Source organism: Homo sapiens, chromosome 16, assembly GCF_000001405.40.
Source record: "Homo sapiens chromosome 16, GRCh38.p14 Primary Assembly".
NCBI lineage: Eukaryota > Metazoa > Chordata > Mammalia > Primates > Hominidae > Homo > Homo sapiens.
In genome coordinates, this window is record NC_000016.10 from 89,726,948 (window position 1) to 89,740,961 (window position 14,014).

The 14,014-nt window shown below is 54.2% G+C and overlaps 2 protein-coding genes across 16 annotated transcripts in view, besides 3 other annotated features; one reads left to right on the plus strand and one right to left on the minus strand.

Moving 5' to 3' along the window:
- Positions 1 to 13,978, plus strand: part of ZNF276 (zinc finger protein 276) — a 20,558-nt gene extending 6,580 nt beyond the window's left edge. For 4 of the 14 annotated variants that reach the window (NR_110128.2, NR_110126.2, NR_110129.2 and 1 more), the window contains exons 5-11: positions 332 to 378; positions 2,288 to 2,371; positions 6,355 to 6,465; positions 6,535 to 6,610; positions 6,974 to 7,091; positions 10,859 to 10,958; positions 11,029 to 13,978. Coding sequence is in view for 8 of the 14 variants with exons in the window: in XM_005256324.4 (XP_005256381.1) it covers positions 332 to 378; positions 2,288 to 2,371; positions 6,355 to 6,465; positions 6,535 to 6,610; positions 6,974 to 7,091; positions 10,859 to 10,958; positions 11,029 to 11,299 (807 nt within the window). In the remaining 6 variants the exon portion in view is untranslated. Of the gene's footprint in view, positions 1 to 331; positions 480 to 2,287; positions 2,372 to 2,983; positions 3,717 to 6,354; positions 6,466 to 6,534; positions 6,611 to 6,973; positions 7,092 to 10,773; positions 10,959 to 11,028 lie in introns of those variants that run through there. The other 10 variants (XM_047434901.1, NM_152287.4, NM_001113525.2 and 7 more) reach the window with 7 other exon arrangements.
- Positions 1,710 to 2,281: an enhancer, noted in NCBI's record as "H3K4me1 hESC enhancer chr16:89795065-89795636 (GRCh37/hg19 assembly coordinates)". NCBI's record gives its function as "activates a minimal SCP1, AML or CMV promoter by ChIP-STARR-seq in primed H9 embryonic stem cells {active_cell/tissue: H9 hESC(primed)}" and the evidence as "EXISTENCE:reporter gene assay evidence [ECO:0000049][PMID:30033119]".
- Positions 2,419 to 2,588: an enhancer, noted in NCBI's record as "experimental_46690 CRE fragment used in MPRA reporter constructs". NCBI's record gives its function as "activates a minimal promoter by MPRAs in K562 erythroleukemia cells, with activity observed for the introgressed 16:89795859 variant allele {active_cell/tissue: K562}" and the evidence as "EXISTENCE:reporter gene assay evidence [ECO:0000049][PMID:34662402]".
- The window catches only part of FANCA (FA complementation group A), a 79,099-nt gene continuing 75,686 nt past the window's right edge, over positions 10,602 to 14,014 (minus strand). Inside the window, exons 38-43 of one of the 2 annotated variants that reach the window (NM_000135.4) lie at positions 13,857 to 13,919; positions 13,047 to 13,152; positions 12,531 to 12,606; positions 12,186 to 12,342; positions 11,935 to 12,027; positions 10,602 to 11,761 (exon numbers count right to left, since the gene is read on the minus strand). In NM_000135.4, the coding sequence (NP_000126.2) occupies positions 11,654 to 11,761; positions 11,935 to 12,027; positions 12,186 to 12,342; positions 12,531 to 12,606; positions 13,047 to 13,152; positions 13,857 to 13,919 (603 nt within the window). In that variant the 3' untranslated portion in view covers positions 10,602 to 11,653. Of the gene's footprint in view, positions 11,762 to 11,934; positions 12,028 to 12,181; positions 12,343 to 12,530; positions 12,607 to 13,046; positions 13,153 to 13,856; positions 13,920 to 14,014 lie in introns of both variants that reach the window. The other variant, NM_001286167.3, reaches the window with a different exon arrangement.
- Positions 13,691 to 13,860: an enhancer, noted in NCBI's record as "experimental_46704 CRE fragment used in MPRA reporter constructs". NCBI's record gives its function as "activates a minimal promoter by MPRAs in K562 erythroleukemia cells, with activity observed for both the introgressed and non-introgressed 16:89807131 variant alleles {active_cell/tissue: K562}" and the evidence as "EXISTENCE:reporter gene assay evidence [ECO:0000049][PMID:34662402]".

Sequence of the window (14,014 nt, forward strand, 5' to 3'; positions counted from 1 at the left end):
AATTTTTTAAATGTCTCAGAACATCCACCAAGTCCAGGCTGTCCTAGAAGGACTGGATCGGAGTCAGTGGAAGGACTGGGCTTTCTGGTTCTGCTGTTCCTGAGGGTTCTGATGCTTGTTGCTGCCTGTGTGCTTCTGGACGTTGGGCTGGCAGGGCAGGATCAGAGGCTGCATAGCACCCTTGGTGGGGATGGGGCCATGGTGGGGAGAACTTGAGGGTCAGGGACCCCAGTCTCCCTTCTAGTCATCAATAGTAGAATCATGCCTCCTTGCAGGTGAGACCTTTCTGTGCTCCGTGTTGGTAACAGGAGCCTTGTTCTTTGTTTCTCAGGGCAGTTGGGTGAGAAGCAGCTTCCATCTTCAACCTCGGATGATCGGGTAAAAGACGAGTTCAGTGACCTTTCTGAGGGGTGAGAGAAGAGTGGGTTTAAACAGCCTAAAATTTCTCCTTCAAAAACCATCAGTGACCTTTCTGAGGGGTGAGAGAAGAGTGGGTTTAAACAGCCTAAAATTTCTCCTTCAAAAACCAAACAGCCATCGTAGGGTCGGCTGCCCATGCGCTGGTACCAAACTAAGCCATCACAGGGGCCGGCTGTCCGTGCCCTGGTTGGGACACGCCTCCTCTCGAGGTGGCGGGAGAGGAGGGGCTGGGGAGCTTCCGAGGCTTCTTGTCTCTGATTGATGGTTTCCTGGGTGCCAGAGAGCACTCCCAGACCTGAGGCAGCTCCAGAGGGAGCCTGATAGGGTTTCTGACCCAGAGCAGCCTAGAAATGAGTTTGTTGAAACCACTCTGGCTGGGTCCTTTGCTTCTGCTACTGTTTTAGGGCCATAGTTTTGTGTTCGCTCCAGATGTTTCTGGAGTAGAGAAACCCCGACTTTAGCCCTTGACTATGACACTGTTGTGGCTTGAAGCCGAGGCTCTGCGAGGAGGTGTTGCAGGAGGACGGGCCTCAGAAGGGACCTCATCAGTGTCTGCAAACTCCCTGGGCCACCCCTGCCTCTGAGCCAAGCGCCATTCAGGGCAGCTGTGCCAGGCTGGGGTTTGCACCGTTTCCACCCTCTCCTGTAAACCTTGGCTGCAACACAGATGCACCTCATCCAAATGAGGACACCCCAGTTTGGGGGCCAATCCCAGTGGGATGTGCAGTGATGAAATCGGGCAGGTGCCAGGAGGCACCTGGGGTGGCTAAGACTGTCCTCAGGACCACCAGGACACAAAACCGCAGCTGAGGTTATAGCATAAAGGCCACAAATCTTTTTTTTTTTTTTTTTTTCCTTTTGTGAACTTTTTTTTTTAGACCGAGCCTTACTCTGTTGCCCAGGCTGGAGTGCAGTGGTGTGACCTCAGCTCACTGCAAACTCCACCTCCCGCGTTCAAGTGATTCTCCCGCCTCAGCCTCCCGAGTAGCTGGGATTACAGGCGCCCGCCACCACACCCAGCTAAGTTTTGTATTTATTTATTTTTTTTTTATTTGAGACGGAGTCTCGCTGTGTTGCCCAGGCTGGAGTGCAGTGGCACAATCTCGGCTCACTGCAAGCTCTGCCTCCCGGGTTCACGCCATTCTCCGGCCTCAGCCTCTGAGTCGCTGGGACTACAGGCACCCGCCACCACGCCCGGCTAATTTTTTGTATTTTTAGCAGAGACGGGGTTTCACTTTGTTAGCCGGGATGGTCTTGATCTCCTGACCTCGTGATCCGCCCGCCTCTGCCTCCCAAAGTGCTGGGATTACAGGTGTTAGCCACCGCACCCGGCCAATTTTTGTATTTTTAGTAGAGACGGGGTTTCACGGTATTGGCCAGGCTGGTCTTGAACTCCTGACCTCATGCGATCCACCTACGTCACCCTCCCAAAGTGCTGGGATTACAGGAGTTAGCCTCTGCACCCAGCCACTTTTGTGAACTTAGAAGTGACTCATGGCAAACCCATCAGTTGCATAGGGTTCGCAGTTATGGGGTGAGGTGGTCGATTTCTCAAAGTCTGCTTAGCAGGAAGCTACCTTTGAGCGCCTCCACCCCTTCTGGGCCGCTGTGGAAAGGGCTGTTTCCAAGTCCAGTGTCCTGGTGCCCAGAGCACATGGCTTGTGGGGATTGCTGGCTTGTGAGCCTGGCTGGCCCTTTGTGTTCGGAAACGGGATTGGAAATTTGGGGATTTTAGATTTAAGACATTTTCAGAAGAACTCAAATGTGGGACATGGGGGTCCATTTGGTATCTTTAGGCAGGAGGTCGTGTTGGGTCTGTCACTGCCCAGGCCCAGGGCTTTGCTGAAGATTCTCTCTTAATTCCTAGAGACGTCTTGAGTGAAGATGAAAATGACAAGAAGCAAAATGCCCAGTCTTCGGACGAGTCCTTTGAGCCTTACCCAGAAAGGAAGTAAGTGGGCAGCCCGGGGTCTGCTGGAGGCATCCGTTGGGCGACCTAGACACCCGCCTGTGCTCCAGGGCCTCTCCCCGGTGCCCACTCAGTTCACTCTCTCGTGTGCGGATCTCCCGAGCCCAGTGAAACGTGGCTTCCCTCAGTGAGCGGGAGGCGGGGGAGGGGCAGGCGGGCAGGTGAGAAGGTGGGTCCTCCTGGTGCTTTGGAGCTGGGACCTGGTCTCGGCACTGTGAGGCTGCCTCAGAGTCCCAGCAGTGGATGGCAGGTGTCTCTGTCGACAGAACCCCGCCTTGCTTGAGAAGGAGGCTCTTACGTCCCTTCTGCCGGTCCTGCCCTGGGTTCACACCCCAGTGTACCCCCGAAGCCCCCAACCCGTCGCTTCTGCTTTGTGTGCGTCCCCAGAGGCCCGAGGACCCAGCTCTGTCATCCTCCCAGTTCTGACCCCATCACTGATGTCCATGGCCAGGCAGCCACGGTCCACTTCCCTGTTGAATGACTTCTGTGAGCTTGTTTTGACTTTGTTTTTAGGGATTTTTATTTTCTCTCTTCAGTTAGAACACAGGCCCTGGTAGTGAGGGCTGGTTTTCACTTGTGCTGTTTTCTTTGCAGCCCTATACCCAGCAGTACCCAGAACACTCCCAGGTAGTTGGTGACTGACCCAGTCCCTGTCCTTGAGCATTTCACAGCCCAGAACAAAGGTCCAGAGGGCAGGTGGCTCTGAGCACCACCGTCAGCCACTAGAACCCTGCTGTGCAGACTGAGAGGTCAACGGCCTTTTTTCATGGAAGTTCTGATGCTGTTAAGTTCTGAAAAGAGAAACGGGAGCAGTGGAGGAGGCCCGGAGAGAGATGCGAAGCAGAGGGCAGGACTGAGCCAGAGGGGCTGCAGCAGCTTCAGCATGAACAGAAAACTGGTCAGGCCCAGAAAAGGTGCCCGGGGGTCCCTACCCCCAGGCTTGTTCCCAGGAGTCATGGCTGGGAGTGCCGCCTGAGGCTGCTGTACGGAAGCCCCCACTCCGTGACCCTCCGGGTTGAGTCTGAATCCCAGGACACCTGAGAATGTGTCTCTGGCTTGCTGCCCAGAAGGTCTGGGGCTGCTGGTGTGAGGAGGGCTGGGAGCTGGGATGGGAGGAGCCAGGCGAGCCTTTTCCGGATCGAGGCAGATTCAGGAGGGGAGGGTCCTCTCTGCTGAGCCCCTGCTGCTGTGACAGGGACAGCACACTCAGACTGTGTCACTAGTCCCTCTGGGACCCCAGGAGTGCAGACAAAGACGTGCTTTGGAACAGAGACACGGGAGATACGTTTTCAGAGGTCTCTAATAAAAGGGGTGACTTCAGTGGAAACCGCTGCGCAGGAGGCAGGACTGGGTGGTAGCAAGCATGGCCTCCTGACTGCGGCGAGTACCAGGGGCACTTGGTTCCCCAGCTGCCACCGTGAGACCCCCCTGGGAACCCAGAAGGGCCTCTGCACAGCCCCCGGCCCGTGTGCTGCCTCCCAGTCTTGTCAACCCTGACCTTGGAGTTCTAGCGGGCGTGCCCGCCTGTGTCCTCAGCTGGGGGCGCATGAGAAGAGACTTCTGTGATGTGTTAATGAGGGGTCAGTGGTTCCCGCCAGAGGGGAAGGCCAGGGCCTGCACCCCCATGGGGAAAGAACTGACAGGCAGCAGTGAGGCCTGAGCCCAGCCCACCCGGTCCGCAAAGATTCCCGTCCCAAACACGAGGGCACAGAGACTGCGGGTGCTCTGAAGCCTCCTGTGCTGAGGAGGTGAGTGGTCATTGTGGGAACGGCATGGCCAGCCACTCACAAACAAGGGGCCACCCAATCCAGGCAGGCAGGGCAGGTGAGGGGGACATGTGGCTAGGTCATGAAAACCAGTTATTAGGGACAGGGAGAGAAGGCGCAGCCTGTGCGAAGTCAACAGTTCTTCTCAGTGCGTTTTTGTCTTGTTTCTGAGATGGAGTCTTGCTCTGTTGCCCAGACTGGAGTGCAGTGGCACGATCTTGGCTCACTGCAACCTCCGCCTCCCGAGTTCAAGTGATTCTCCTGCCTCAGCCTCCTGAGTAGCTGGGATTACAGGCATGTGCCACCATACCTGGCTAATTTTTGTATTTTTAGTAGAGATGGGATTTCTCCCACGTTGGCCACACTGGTCTCGAACTCCTGACCTCATGATCCGCCCGCCTCAGCCTGCCAAAGTGCTGGGATTACAGGCGTGAGCCACCGCGCCGGCCTCAATGCACTCTTTAAAGAGAAGGGCAGTTAGCGACAGGGTCTCATGTTGTTGCCTAGGCTGGGGTGCCCTGGCACGATCATGGCTGACTGCAGCCCTGTGCGCTCAAGTGAGCCTCTCACCTCAGCCTCCCAGGGTGCTGGGACTGCCAACATGAGCCACTGGACTCGGCAGTGTAAACTACTTTTTTCATGCTATTGCATATGTATTGTTCATTGATAATATATAGAAACATAACTGGGTTTTGTGTATGGATTTTGTGCCCTGCAACTTTGCTGAAATAATTAATTAGGGTTTTTTGTATGTGGATCTTTAGGGTTTTCTACGTAGAAGGTCGTGTCATTTGTGAATAGGGAGAATTTGTCTTTGTTTTCTTTTTCTTGCCCAGTTACTCTGGCTAGGGCCTCCAGTGCTGCCCTGAGAGCAGTGGTGAGAGAATCCGTATCTTGTTCCTGACCTTGGAGGAAGAGCTTTCAGTCCTTCACAGTTGAGCGTGGTGTCTGCTGTGGGTTTCATGTAGAGGTTTTATCGTGGTGAAGAAGTTCCTTTCTGTTCTTGAGATATTTCCTTAACTATTCTTACCTGGATCCAGAAAGGAACCACAAGTGCGTCTCTCTCTTTAAGTCTCCGATAGACGCACACTGGAAGCTGCTGCATTTGCTGGTCCCTCAGGGACTTGCCAGACCAACTAAAATGCACGACCCCAGACTTTTGGAGGACAAGGTCTCCTGCCCACCATGGTCCCAGCCAGCAGCTCCAGGAACACAGGCTGGGCTCCCTGCAGTGGAGGCGGGGTTGAGGAATGCTGGGGTGGCAGCTACTCACCGTGTGCTTCCCAGGGAGCATCACCTGTTCCTCTGAAGCCCTGCCTGGGTGGCTTGAGCTTGGAATCAAGCTGACCCATTTTGAGAGAGTGGATTCTGAGCTTTTTCCTAGCGTAAGGTCGTTTTGATAAAGGAGTGGTCCTTTGGACATCCCTGTTCTGCCGTCCTGATACCTCTAGTTGTGGGTTTTATGTGTAGCACAGGGTGAAGCTTTAGTTCTCAGAACCCACCCCTGCTGTACCCTGTGCCCTCGCCCTCCGCTGTGTTTGCCCTGACCCTCCTGTACCCTGCGTCCTCGCCCTCTGCTGTGCTCACCCGACCCTGCTGTACCCTGCGCCCTCGTCCTCTGCCGTTTGCCCCTGACCCTGCTGTACCATGCCCTCGCCCTCTGCTGTGTTCACCCTGACCCTGCTGTACCCTGCGCCCTCACCCTCTGCTGTGTTCACCTGACCCTGCTGTGTCCTGCGCCCTTGCCCTCTGCTGTGCTCGCCCTGACCCTGCTGTACCCCGCTGTACCCTGCGCCCTCGCCCTCTGCTGTGTTCACCCCGACCCTGCTGTACCCTGCGCCCTCATCCTCTGCTGTGCCCTCCCCCTCTGCTGTGTTCGCCCTGACCCTGCTGTACCCTGCGCCCTCGCCCTCTGCTGTGTTTGCCCTGACCCTGCTGTACCCTGCGCCCTCGCCCTCTGCTGTGTTCACCCCTGACCCTGCTGTGTCCTGCGCCCTTGCCCTCTGCTGTGCTCGCCCCTGAGGCCTCCTGTCCAGAGTTGCTCTGGCTTTGGTGGCTTCAGGTAGATTCTGAGGGTCAGTCAGCACAGAAGCAACTCAGGGAAGCTTCAGAAAAGACCATTTCTCAGGTTGGAGAGACAAAAAACATTTTGCAAATGGAGATCAGAAACCATTGAATTTGGGAACCTCTTTTTTTCAGAGTCTCTGGTAAGAAGAGTGAAAGCAAAGAAGCCAAGAAGTCTGAAGAACCAAGAATTCGGAAGAAGCCGGGACCCAAGCCCGGATGGAAGAAGAAGCTTCGTTGTGAGAGGTGATGCCTGCAACGCGAGGCTCGCCCTGCCTGTCGGGGCCGGGGCTCCATGCATGCTCTTCATTGCAGGGAGGAGCTTCCCACCATCTACAAGTGTCCTTACCAGGGCTGCACGGCCGTGTACCGAGGCGCTGACGGCATGAAGGTGAGCACTGGCTGTGCCTGACCCAGGCCCGGCAGCTGTCAGTGTGAACCTGGGGGAGGTAGCAGGTGTTTCTGCAGCCTAACTCAGACTTGCGCCCAAGGACACTTTGACCTAGGTTAACCGAGACCTGAAGCAGTCCTAGCCAGTGCCATCCTTGGGGGTAGATGTGAGGCCAGACTTTCACTTGAGACACCCCCCGGGGGGTCTAGAAGTTTCTTGGAGTGAAGCTGTGAAGGAGCCAGTGGTGTCGCTGGAGGAGGAGTTGGATCTGCCTTCCAGGGGCCTCAGCTGTCACCTACTGAGGGCTCGTGCCATGTGGCCCGGGTGCGGCTCTGAGGGTCTCTCACCGAGTCTCTCCTTCAGAAGCACATCAAGGAGCACCACGAGGAGGTCCGGGAGCGGCCCTGCCCCCACCCTGGCTGCAACAAGGTTTTCATGATCGACCGCTACCTGCAGCGCCACGTGAAGCTCATCCACACAGGTACGCCTATCGCCAGTGTCGCCCACGCGGGTGACAGCCAGGGGCACGTGACCTGCTTTCCAGTCTTCCTCATACCCATCCCCGCCCCAAGAGTTGGGGGTGCGTGAAGGTGGCTCATGGGGTCTTTGGTACTCAGTCACGTTGGTAGATGAAGGCTAGAGTAGGGCGTCAGTGTGAATCTGCCCTTCCCTGTGATGGAAGGAATTCCTGACTTCCCCAGGATCTAGGCAGTTTGTCAAAACTAATAGCCAAGCAATCTTGGTGTCCTTTTGCAAATTGGTCATTTTATTTTTTAATTTTTTTTTGAGACGGAGTCCTGCTCTGTTGCCCAGGCTGGAGTGCAGTGGCACCATCTTGGCTCACCACAACCTCTGCCTCCCAGGTTCAATCAATTCTCCCGCCTCAGCCTCCCAAGTAGCTGGGATTACAGGCACCCGCAACCATGCCTGGCTAATTTTTGTAATTTTTGGTAGAGACGGGGTTTCACCATGTTGGCCAGGGTGATCTCTAACTCCTGACCTCAAGTGATCTCAGCCTTCCAAAGTGCAGAGATTACAGGTGTGAGCACTGCACCTGGCCCAAACAAGTGTATCTTAAAAGGCAAGGCAGAAGGCATGAAGGCACACCAGCTCTGGGGAGCTGCCCACGTGGACAGGCGGGAGGCACGTGTGGTTCTGCCTTTTCACATGTGTGTAGGTCGTGTCATTAAGACCGGAGGCGGATGGGGGAATTATGACTGAGGGTGCTGTCTCTGTGCCCGTCTTATTTTTCACAATTTCTATAATGCACAAGTTACTTTTATAATCCAACAAGGATATGTTTTCAAAATGACAAACTTGGCCGGGCGTGGTGGCTCACACCTGTAATCCCAGCACTTTGGGAGGCTGAGGTGGGTGGATCACCTGAGGTCAGCAGTTCAAGACCAGCCTGGCCAACATGGTAAAACCTGGTCTCTACTAAAAATACAAAAATTATCTGGGTGTGGTGGCACACGCCTGTAGGCACAGCTACTTGGGAGGCGGAGGTGGAGGTTGCAGTGAGCCGAGATCACACCACTGCACTCCAGCCTGGGCAACAGTGAGACACTGTCTCAAAAAAAAAACTTGTTTGAACCACGTGGACCCACATATCCATGGTCAGGGACTCGAATCCCTGGTATTCAGAGGGCTGCCTTTTCCTAAGTGCAGGTTCTGTAGGGTCTTTGCAGGGCTAACTTCGGGACTTCAGTATGAGCAGATTTTGGTAAGGGGTGGGGGGGGGCCTGGAACCAGCTGAGGACAACTGTATATTGATCCTTACACACACAGTTTTCCTTGGTTTTGAACTTATTACAGAATAAGAATTATTTATTCTTACTTGAATTTACTGAAGTATTTTTTCATTAGGATTGCTTTTCACTGCTGGGTCATCTCCCGACATGCGGGTTGTTATTTTTTGGGTTCTCCGACATCTCTCCTGATGGCAGCACTTCCTTGGGTTTGGTCCTTCAGACTCTGCATCTGTCCGGTCACTGATGGTCACAACCAGCAGTTCCTTAAAAACCTGAAATTGGGCCGGGTGCAGTGGCTCATGCCTGTAATCGCAGCACTTTGGAGGCTAAGGCAGTAGGATTGCTTGAGGCCAGGATTTTGACACCAGCCTGGGCAACATAGTGAGGCCGTCTTTACCAAAAACTTTTTTTTTAATTTATTGATGGAAACAGTCTCACTCTTATCACCATGGCTGGAGTGCAGTGGCGCGATCTTGGCTCACTGTAACCTCCACCTCCCTAGTTCAAGCAATTCTCCTGTCTCAGCCTCCTGAGTAGCTGGGATTACAGGCATCTGCCACCACGCCGGGGGTGTTTTTTTTTGTTTGTTTGTTTGTTTTTTTGACTGAGTCTTGCTCTTGTCGCCCAGGCTGGGGTGCAGTGGCACAATCTCAGCTCACTGCAAGCTCCTCTTCCTGGGGTAAAGCCATTCTCCTGCCTCAGCCTCCCAAATAGCTGGGACTACAGGTGCTGGCCACCACACCCAACTAATTTTTCGTATTTTCAGTACAGACGGGGTTTCACCACGTTAGTGAGGCTGGTCTCAATCTCCTGACCTTGTGATCCACCTGCCTCGGCCTCCCGAAGTGCTGGGATTATAAGCGTGAGCCATGACGCCTGGGTAATTTTTCTATTTTTAGTAGAGAGGCAGGTTTTGCTATGTTGGCCAGGCTGGTCTCGAGTTCCTGACCTCAGGTGATTTGCCTGCCTTGGCCTCCCAAAGTGCTGGGATTACAGGCATGAGCCACCGTGCCCAGCCCCCAATTTTTTTTTTTTTTTCCGGGACAGTCTGTGTCGCCCAGCCTGGAGTGCAGCTGTGCAATCTCAGCTCACTGCAACCTCCACCTCCTGGGTTCATGCAATTCTGCTGCCTCAGCCTCCCGAGTAGCTGGGACTACAGGTGTGTGCCACCACACCTGGCTAATTTTTGTATTTTTAGTAGAGACAGGGTTTTACCATATTGATTGGGCTGGGGCTGGTCTTGAACTGACTTCATGATCCGCCTGCCTTGGCCTTCCAAAGTGCTGGGATTGAGCACTTTGTGTAAGCCACTGCACCGGCCCCCCAAATTTTTTAAATTACCTGGGTGTGGTGGTGCACACCTGTGGTCCCAGCTACTTGAGAGGTTGAGGCAGGAGGATCACTTAAGCCTGGGAGTTCCAGGCTATAGTGAGCCATGATTGTACCATTGCACTTCAACCTGGGCAACAGAGCAAGACCCTGTCTCCAAAAAAAAAAAAAAAAAAAGAATCCCTTGAACCTGGGAGGTGGAGTTTCCAGTGAGCTGAGATTGGGCTGTTGCACTCCAGCCTGGGCAACAGAGCAAGACTCAAGTCTCAAAAAAAAAGAACAGCGTAGAGTAAAATGCCAAGATAGGGTTTCCCTTCGAAGAGAAAAGTCTGTCTTGTGAAGCGTTTCAGGGCTTGACAGATGTGGAGGCAGCACAGGGTGAGTGGGTCTGCATGTCCACATGTGGCATTTGTGGACTAGCAAGTGAGATCTCTTTGTTCAAGGGTGTGAGAAAGATTTCCAGAGCCAGTACAGCAATGCATACCCCCAGACCCTGGGTATGGACCCCTCTCATATGGAGATGAATTCTAGAGAACAGCCATAGCTGTGACAATCAGTATTCTATACAACCTTAGTGATACGGCTTCCTTTAAGAATTTGTAGGCCAGGCACGGTGGCTCACACATGTAATCCCAGCACTTTGGGAGACCGAGGCAGGCAGATCACAAGGTCAGGAATTCAAGACCAGCCTGGCCAATATGGTGTAAACCCTGTCTCTACTAAAAATACAAAAATCAGCTGGGCGTGGTGGGGGGCGCCTGTAATCCCAGCTACTTGGCAGGCTGAGGCACAAGAATCGCTTGAGCCTGGGAGGCGCAGGTTGCAGTGAGCTGAGATCACGCCACCGCACTGCAGCCTGGGTAACAGAGCGAAACTCCATCTCAAAAAAAAAAAAAGACAAGAATCTGTGGTTAAGGAAATAGCTTTCTGAGGTTTCTTTAAAAACCATCCTGAAATGCACACAGCTGATGAAGCCACGTGACAGTGTATAAAGCAGTTTAAAGATCTTAATAAACGAGGCCCTCATAGGCCCCTTGCTTGGGCCCACTGCATGGTGAACCATGTGCAGAAATGTCTTCCCAGCTGTGATGGTTTCACATTGTCATCGTCGTCCCCCCGGGAGGTTGGAGCATCAGGGGCCTGGACTCACTGGACTCTCCCCTCTCAGAGGTGCGGAACTATATCTGTGACGAATGTGGACAAACCTTCAAGCAGCGGAAGCACCTTCTCGTCCACCAAATGCGACATTCGGGAGCCAAGCCTTTGCAGTAAGTGTGAGTCAGGACCCCCTCCCAGGGCTGTGGCCCTCGCACCTTCTTATCTGCCTCTGTCCCCCAGGTGTGAGGTCTGTGGGTTCCAGTGCAGGCAGCGGGCATCCCTCAAGTACCACATGACCAAACACAAGGCTGAGACTGAGCTGGACTTTGCCTGTGACCAGTGTGGCCGGCGGTTTGAGAAGGCCCACAACCTCAATGTACACATGTCCATGGTGCACCCGCTGACACAGACCCAGGACAAGGCCCTGCCCCTGGAGGCGGAACCACCACCTGGGCCACCGAGCCCCTCTGTGACCACAGAGGGCCAGGCGGTGAAGCCCGAACCCACCTGAGGACGGCAGTGAGGATGAGCACCTCTAGCAGCCTGGACTCCGCAGTGGCTGTGTCAGCCTCACCCTTCGTGTGCACCCGCATGGGAGGGTCGGAGGGTGCTGCCCGCCCTTGGTGCTGGAGGCGGGCTTGGTGTCCGGCTCAAGTAGCCTTCCTCTGCTCTGGGACCAGTGGTTTATTTTCCCGCAAACGCTGAGTGACTCGGGGCCGGACAGTTCATAAATAATTGATTCCTTTCCCCACTAAAGCAGTCGAGGAGATTTGTAATCCACTTTTTAGTGCAACAAGAGCTCCATGTTATGCTTGTAATAAATTATTTACACGGGAGCTGGGCTGGTGTGCAGTGGCAGGTCCCGTCAGAAGAGATGAGGCTCCTGGGACAGGTCAGCGTCAGGGGCAGCCTGCTGTCTGCTCTGGAGGGCGGCGCTCACCTCTGGGTCGCAGTCCCCACGATCAGCCAGCAGCTGTGAGAGAGGAGCAGGTCCTCAGCCCATGCCGCCCACTAGGCCTCAGACCACAGGGGAGGGGCTCTGGCAGAAATAGTCGAGTTGTATTGCCAGCCAGGCAGGCACATGGCCCAGGCAGCTGTCAATTCTCATGTCCCCCACATGGCCCAAGGTGGGCATCTTGACGTTACCTCTGCCACGTGTGAGAAGCTCTTTTTCGGGCACCGAGGTATTAACTGCAGCAGAAAAAGACGAGCTTTTGTTATCAGTTCCACGGGGTTGCCCTAGAGAGAAAACAGGCAAACTCACAGGTTAGAAGACATACAGAAACAGGGCTGGTGTGTCCCCCATAGTCTGCATGCTGTGCCGGAACATTCTTTGGCAGAAGGAGCCTCCGGCTGGGGGGAGCTCCCCTGGAGGTGGGACTGGCCCTTGCACCTGCCTGACCCTTGAGCTCCAGGCTCCTGCCAGCTGGAGGTGAAACTGTGCTTGTATCCCCAGCCACGAAGAGCTGGACCAGCTTCAAGTACATGTCCACAGCAACATGCAGGAAGGCCTCTTCCCTGATGGCCGCGTCTTCATGGAAGTAGGAGAGAAGACTAGAGGTAAAGACATAGTGACAAATGGCTACAGACTGCTGGAAAGGTAGCAGGTGATGCCAAGGGATACTGCTCATCTGTGGAGCAGAGGCACAGACAACCCTTCCCATCTGGCGGGACCCAGAGGTGCTGAGATGGGGGTCTGGGAAACACTGCCCAGCCCTGACCAGCCCTGTGGGTGGAGGTACCTGTAAAAAGCGAAAGGCAGCAGCCTGGTGTGCTGATCCGGGGCCACACGGAGGAGGAGCCGCCCCAGCCTGAGGTCTGCAACACCAAGAAGTGGCTCAGGCAACTCTGGACATCTCTGCCTATTATCAGTGCTGGGGACACCCCTGGGGGTCGGGACGTGTACCCTGGGAGGCCTGGCTGTGGGGATAGTGTGGGGCGAACAGCCTGAGCTGAGGATACCCAGGTACCTGTCAGCAGCTGGGAGAGGATGGGGGGGTCGACCTCTTGCAGGAGGGTGGGTGTGGTGCAGAGAGAGGCAGTCCCCATGATAGGCCCATTGGTCCTGGGGTTGACCAGTGAGCCAGTAAATTATCTTATTGCTTTAAACAAGTTTGTGCTTAATCTGTCCCAACTAAAATGGAGCTTATAAACTTACTTAGCAAGGAACCTCAAGGAGGGCTCGTTCTTAACCATTTGCAAGATGCCTCTGAAAAGAGCGGCCCTCCGCATTTGTGCCTCAGCAGCGTGTTTCTTACCACTCTCTGTCAACTGAAAGAGTGCCAGCCAGGATATCTTCCTCTTCTCTAAACACTCGAGGATTGCTGCACAAACGTGGAAAGCCTTTGGCAGGTCTGTGGTGCTCTGTAAACCGCAGGAGACCAACCCTGAGAATGGCCGACCTGGTGCTCCCATGGGTAGGAGGGTACAGCCCTCAGCACAGAAGAGGGCATTTCCTCTTTGCTTATTGTAAGTCTTAAAACTGGTGACAGTTTTACCTATAGAAGGTAATACTGGGCCTCTGGACAGAAGAGGCTCAGGTAGGAGGCCAGGGACTTCGAGCACCCACACCAAGGCTGCTGCACCACGTCCTCAAATAAGACATTAAAAGAAAGGCCCACAGGCCGGATGCAGTGGCTCATGCCTGTAATCCCAACACTTTGGGAGGCCGAGGTCGGCGGATCACTGAGGCCAGTTCAAGACCAGCCTGGCAATATGGTGAAACCCCGTCTCTACTAAAAATACAAAAATTAGCCGGGTGTGACAGACTCACGCCTGTAATCCCAGCTACTCGGGAGGCTGATGCAGGAGAATTGCTTGAACCCAGGAGGCTGAGGTTGCAGTGAGCTGAGATCACACCACTGCACTCCAGCCTGGGTGACAGAGTGAGACCCCCATCTCAAAAAAAAAAAAAAAAAACCCACGGCCTGGGAGTTCTCACTCACACTTCCGCAAACACAAGGAGCTCCTGAGCTAGTCTGGAAACCCTGACTTGGAAGCTGGCTGCCTGGTGCCCCTGCCTGGCCCACAGTGGGAGAGGACACCTTGGCTGGTAAGGTCTGACTTACATTTGAGGTCAGATGTGACGACAGCAGGCCCATCAAGGAGAAGAAGAAAAGGAAAACCAATAGCTGTAAATAAAAACGTGCACTTATTATTACATTAAAATTACCTGTGCTGTCATTCTAAATAAGGCTGACACATTCCTCTTTAATTGAAATTTTTT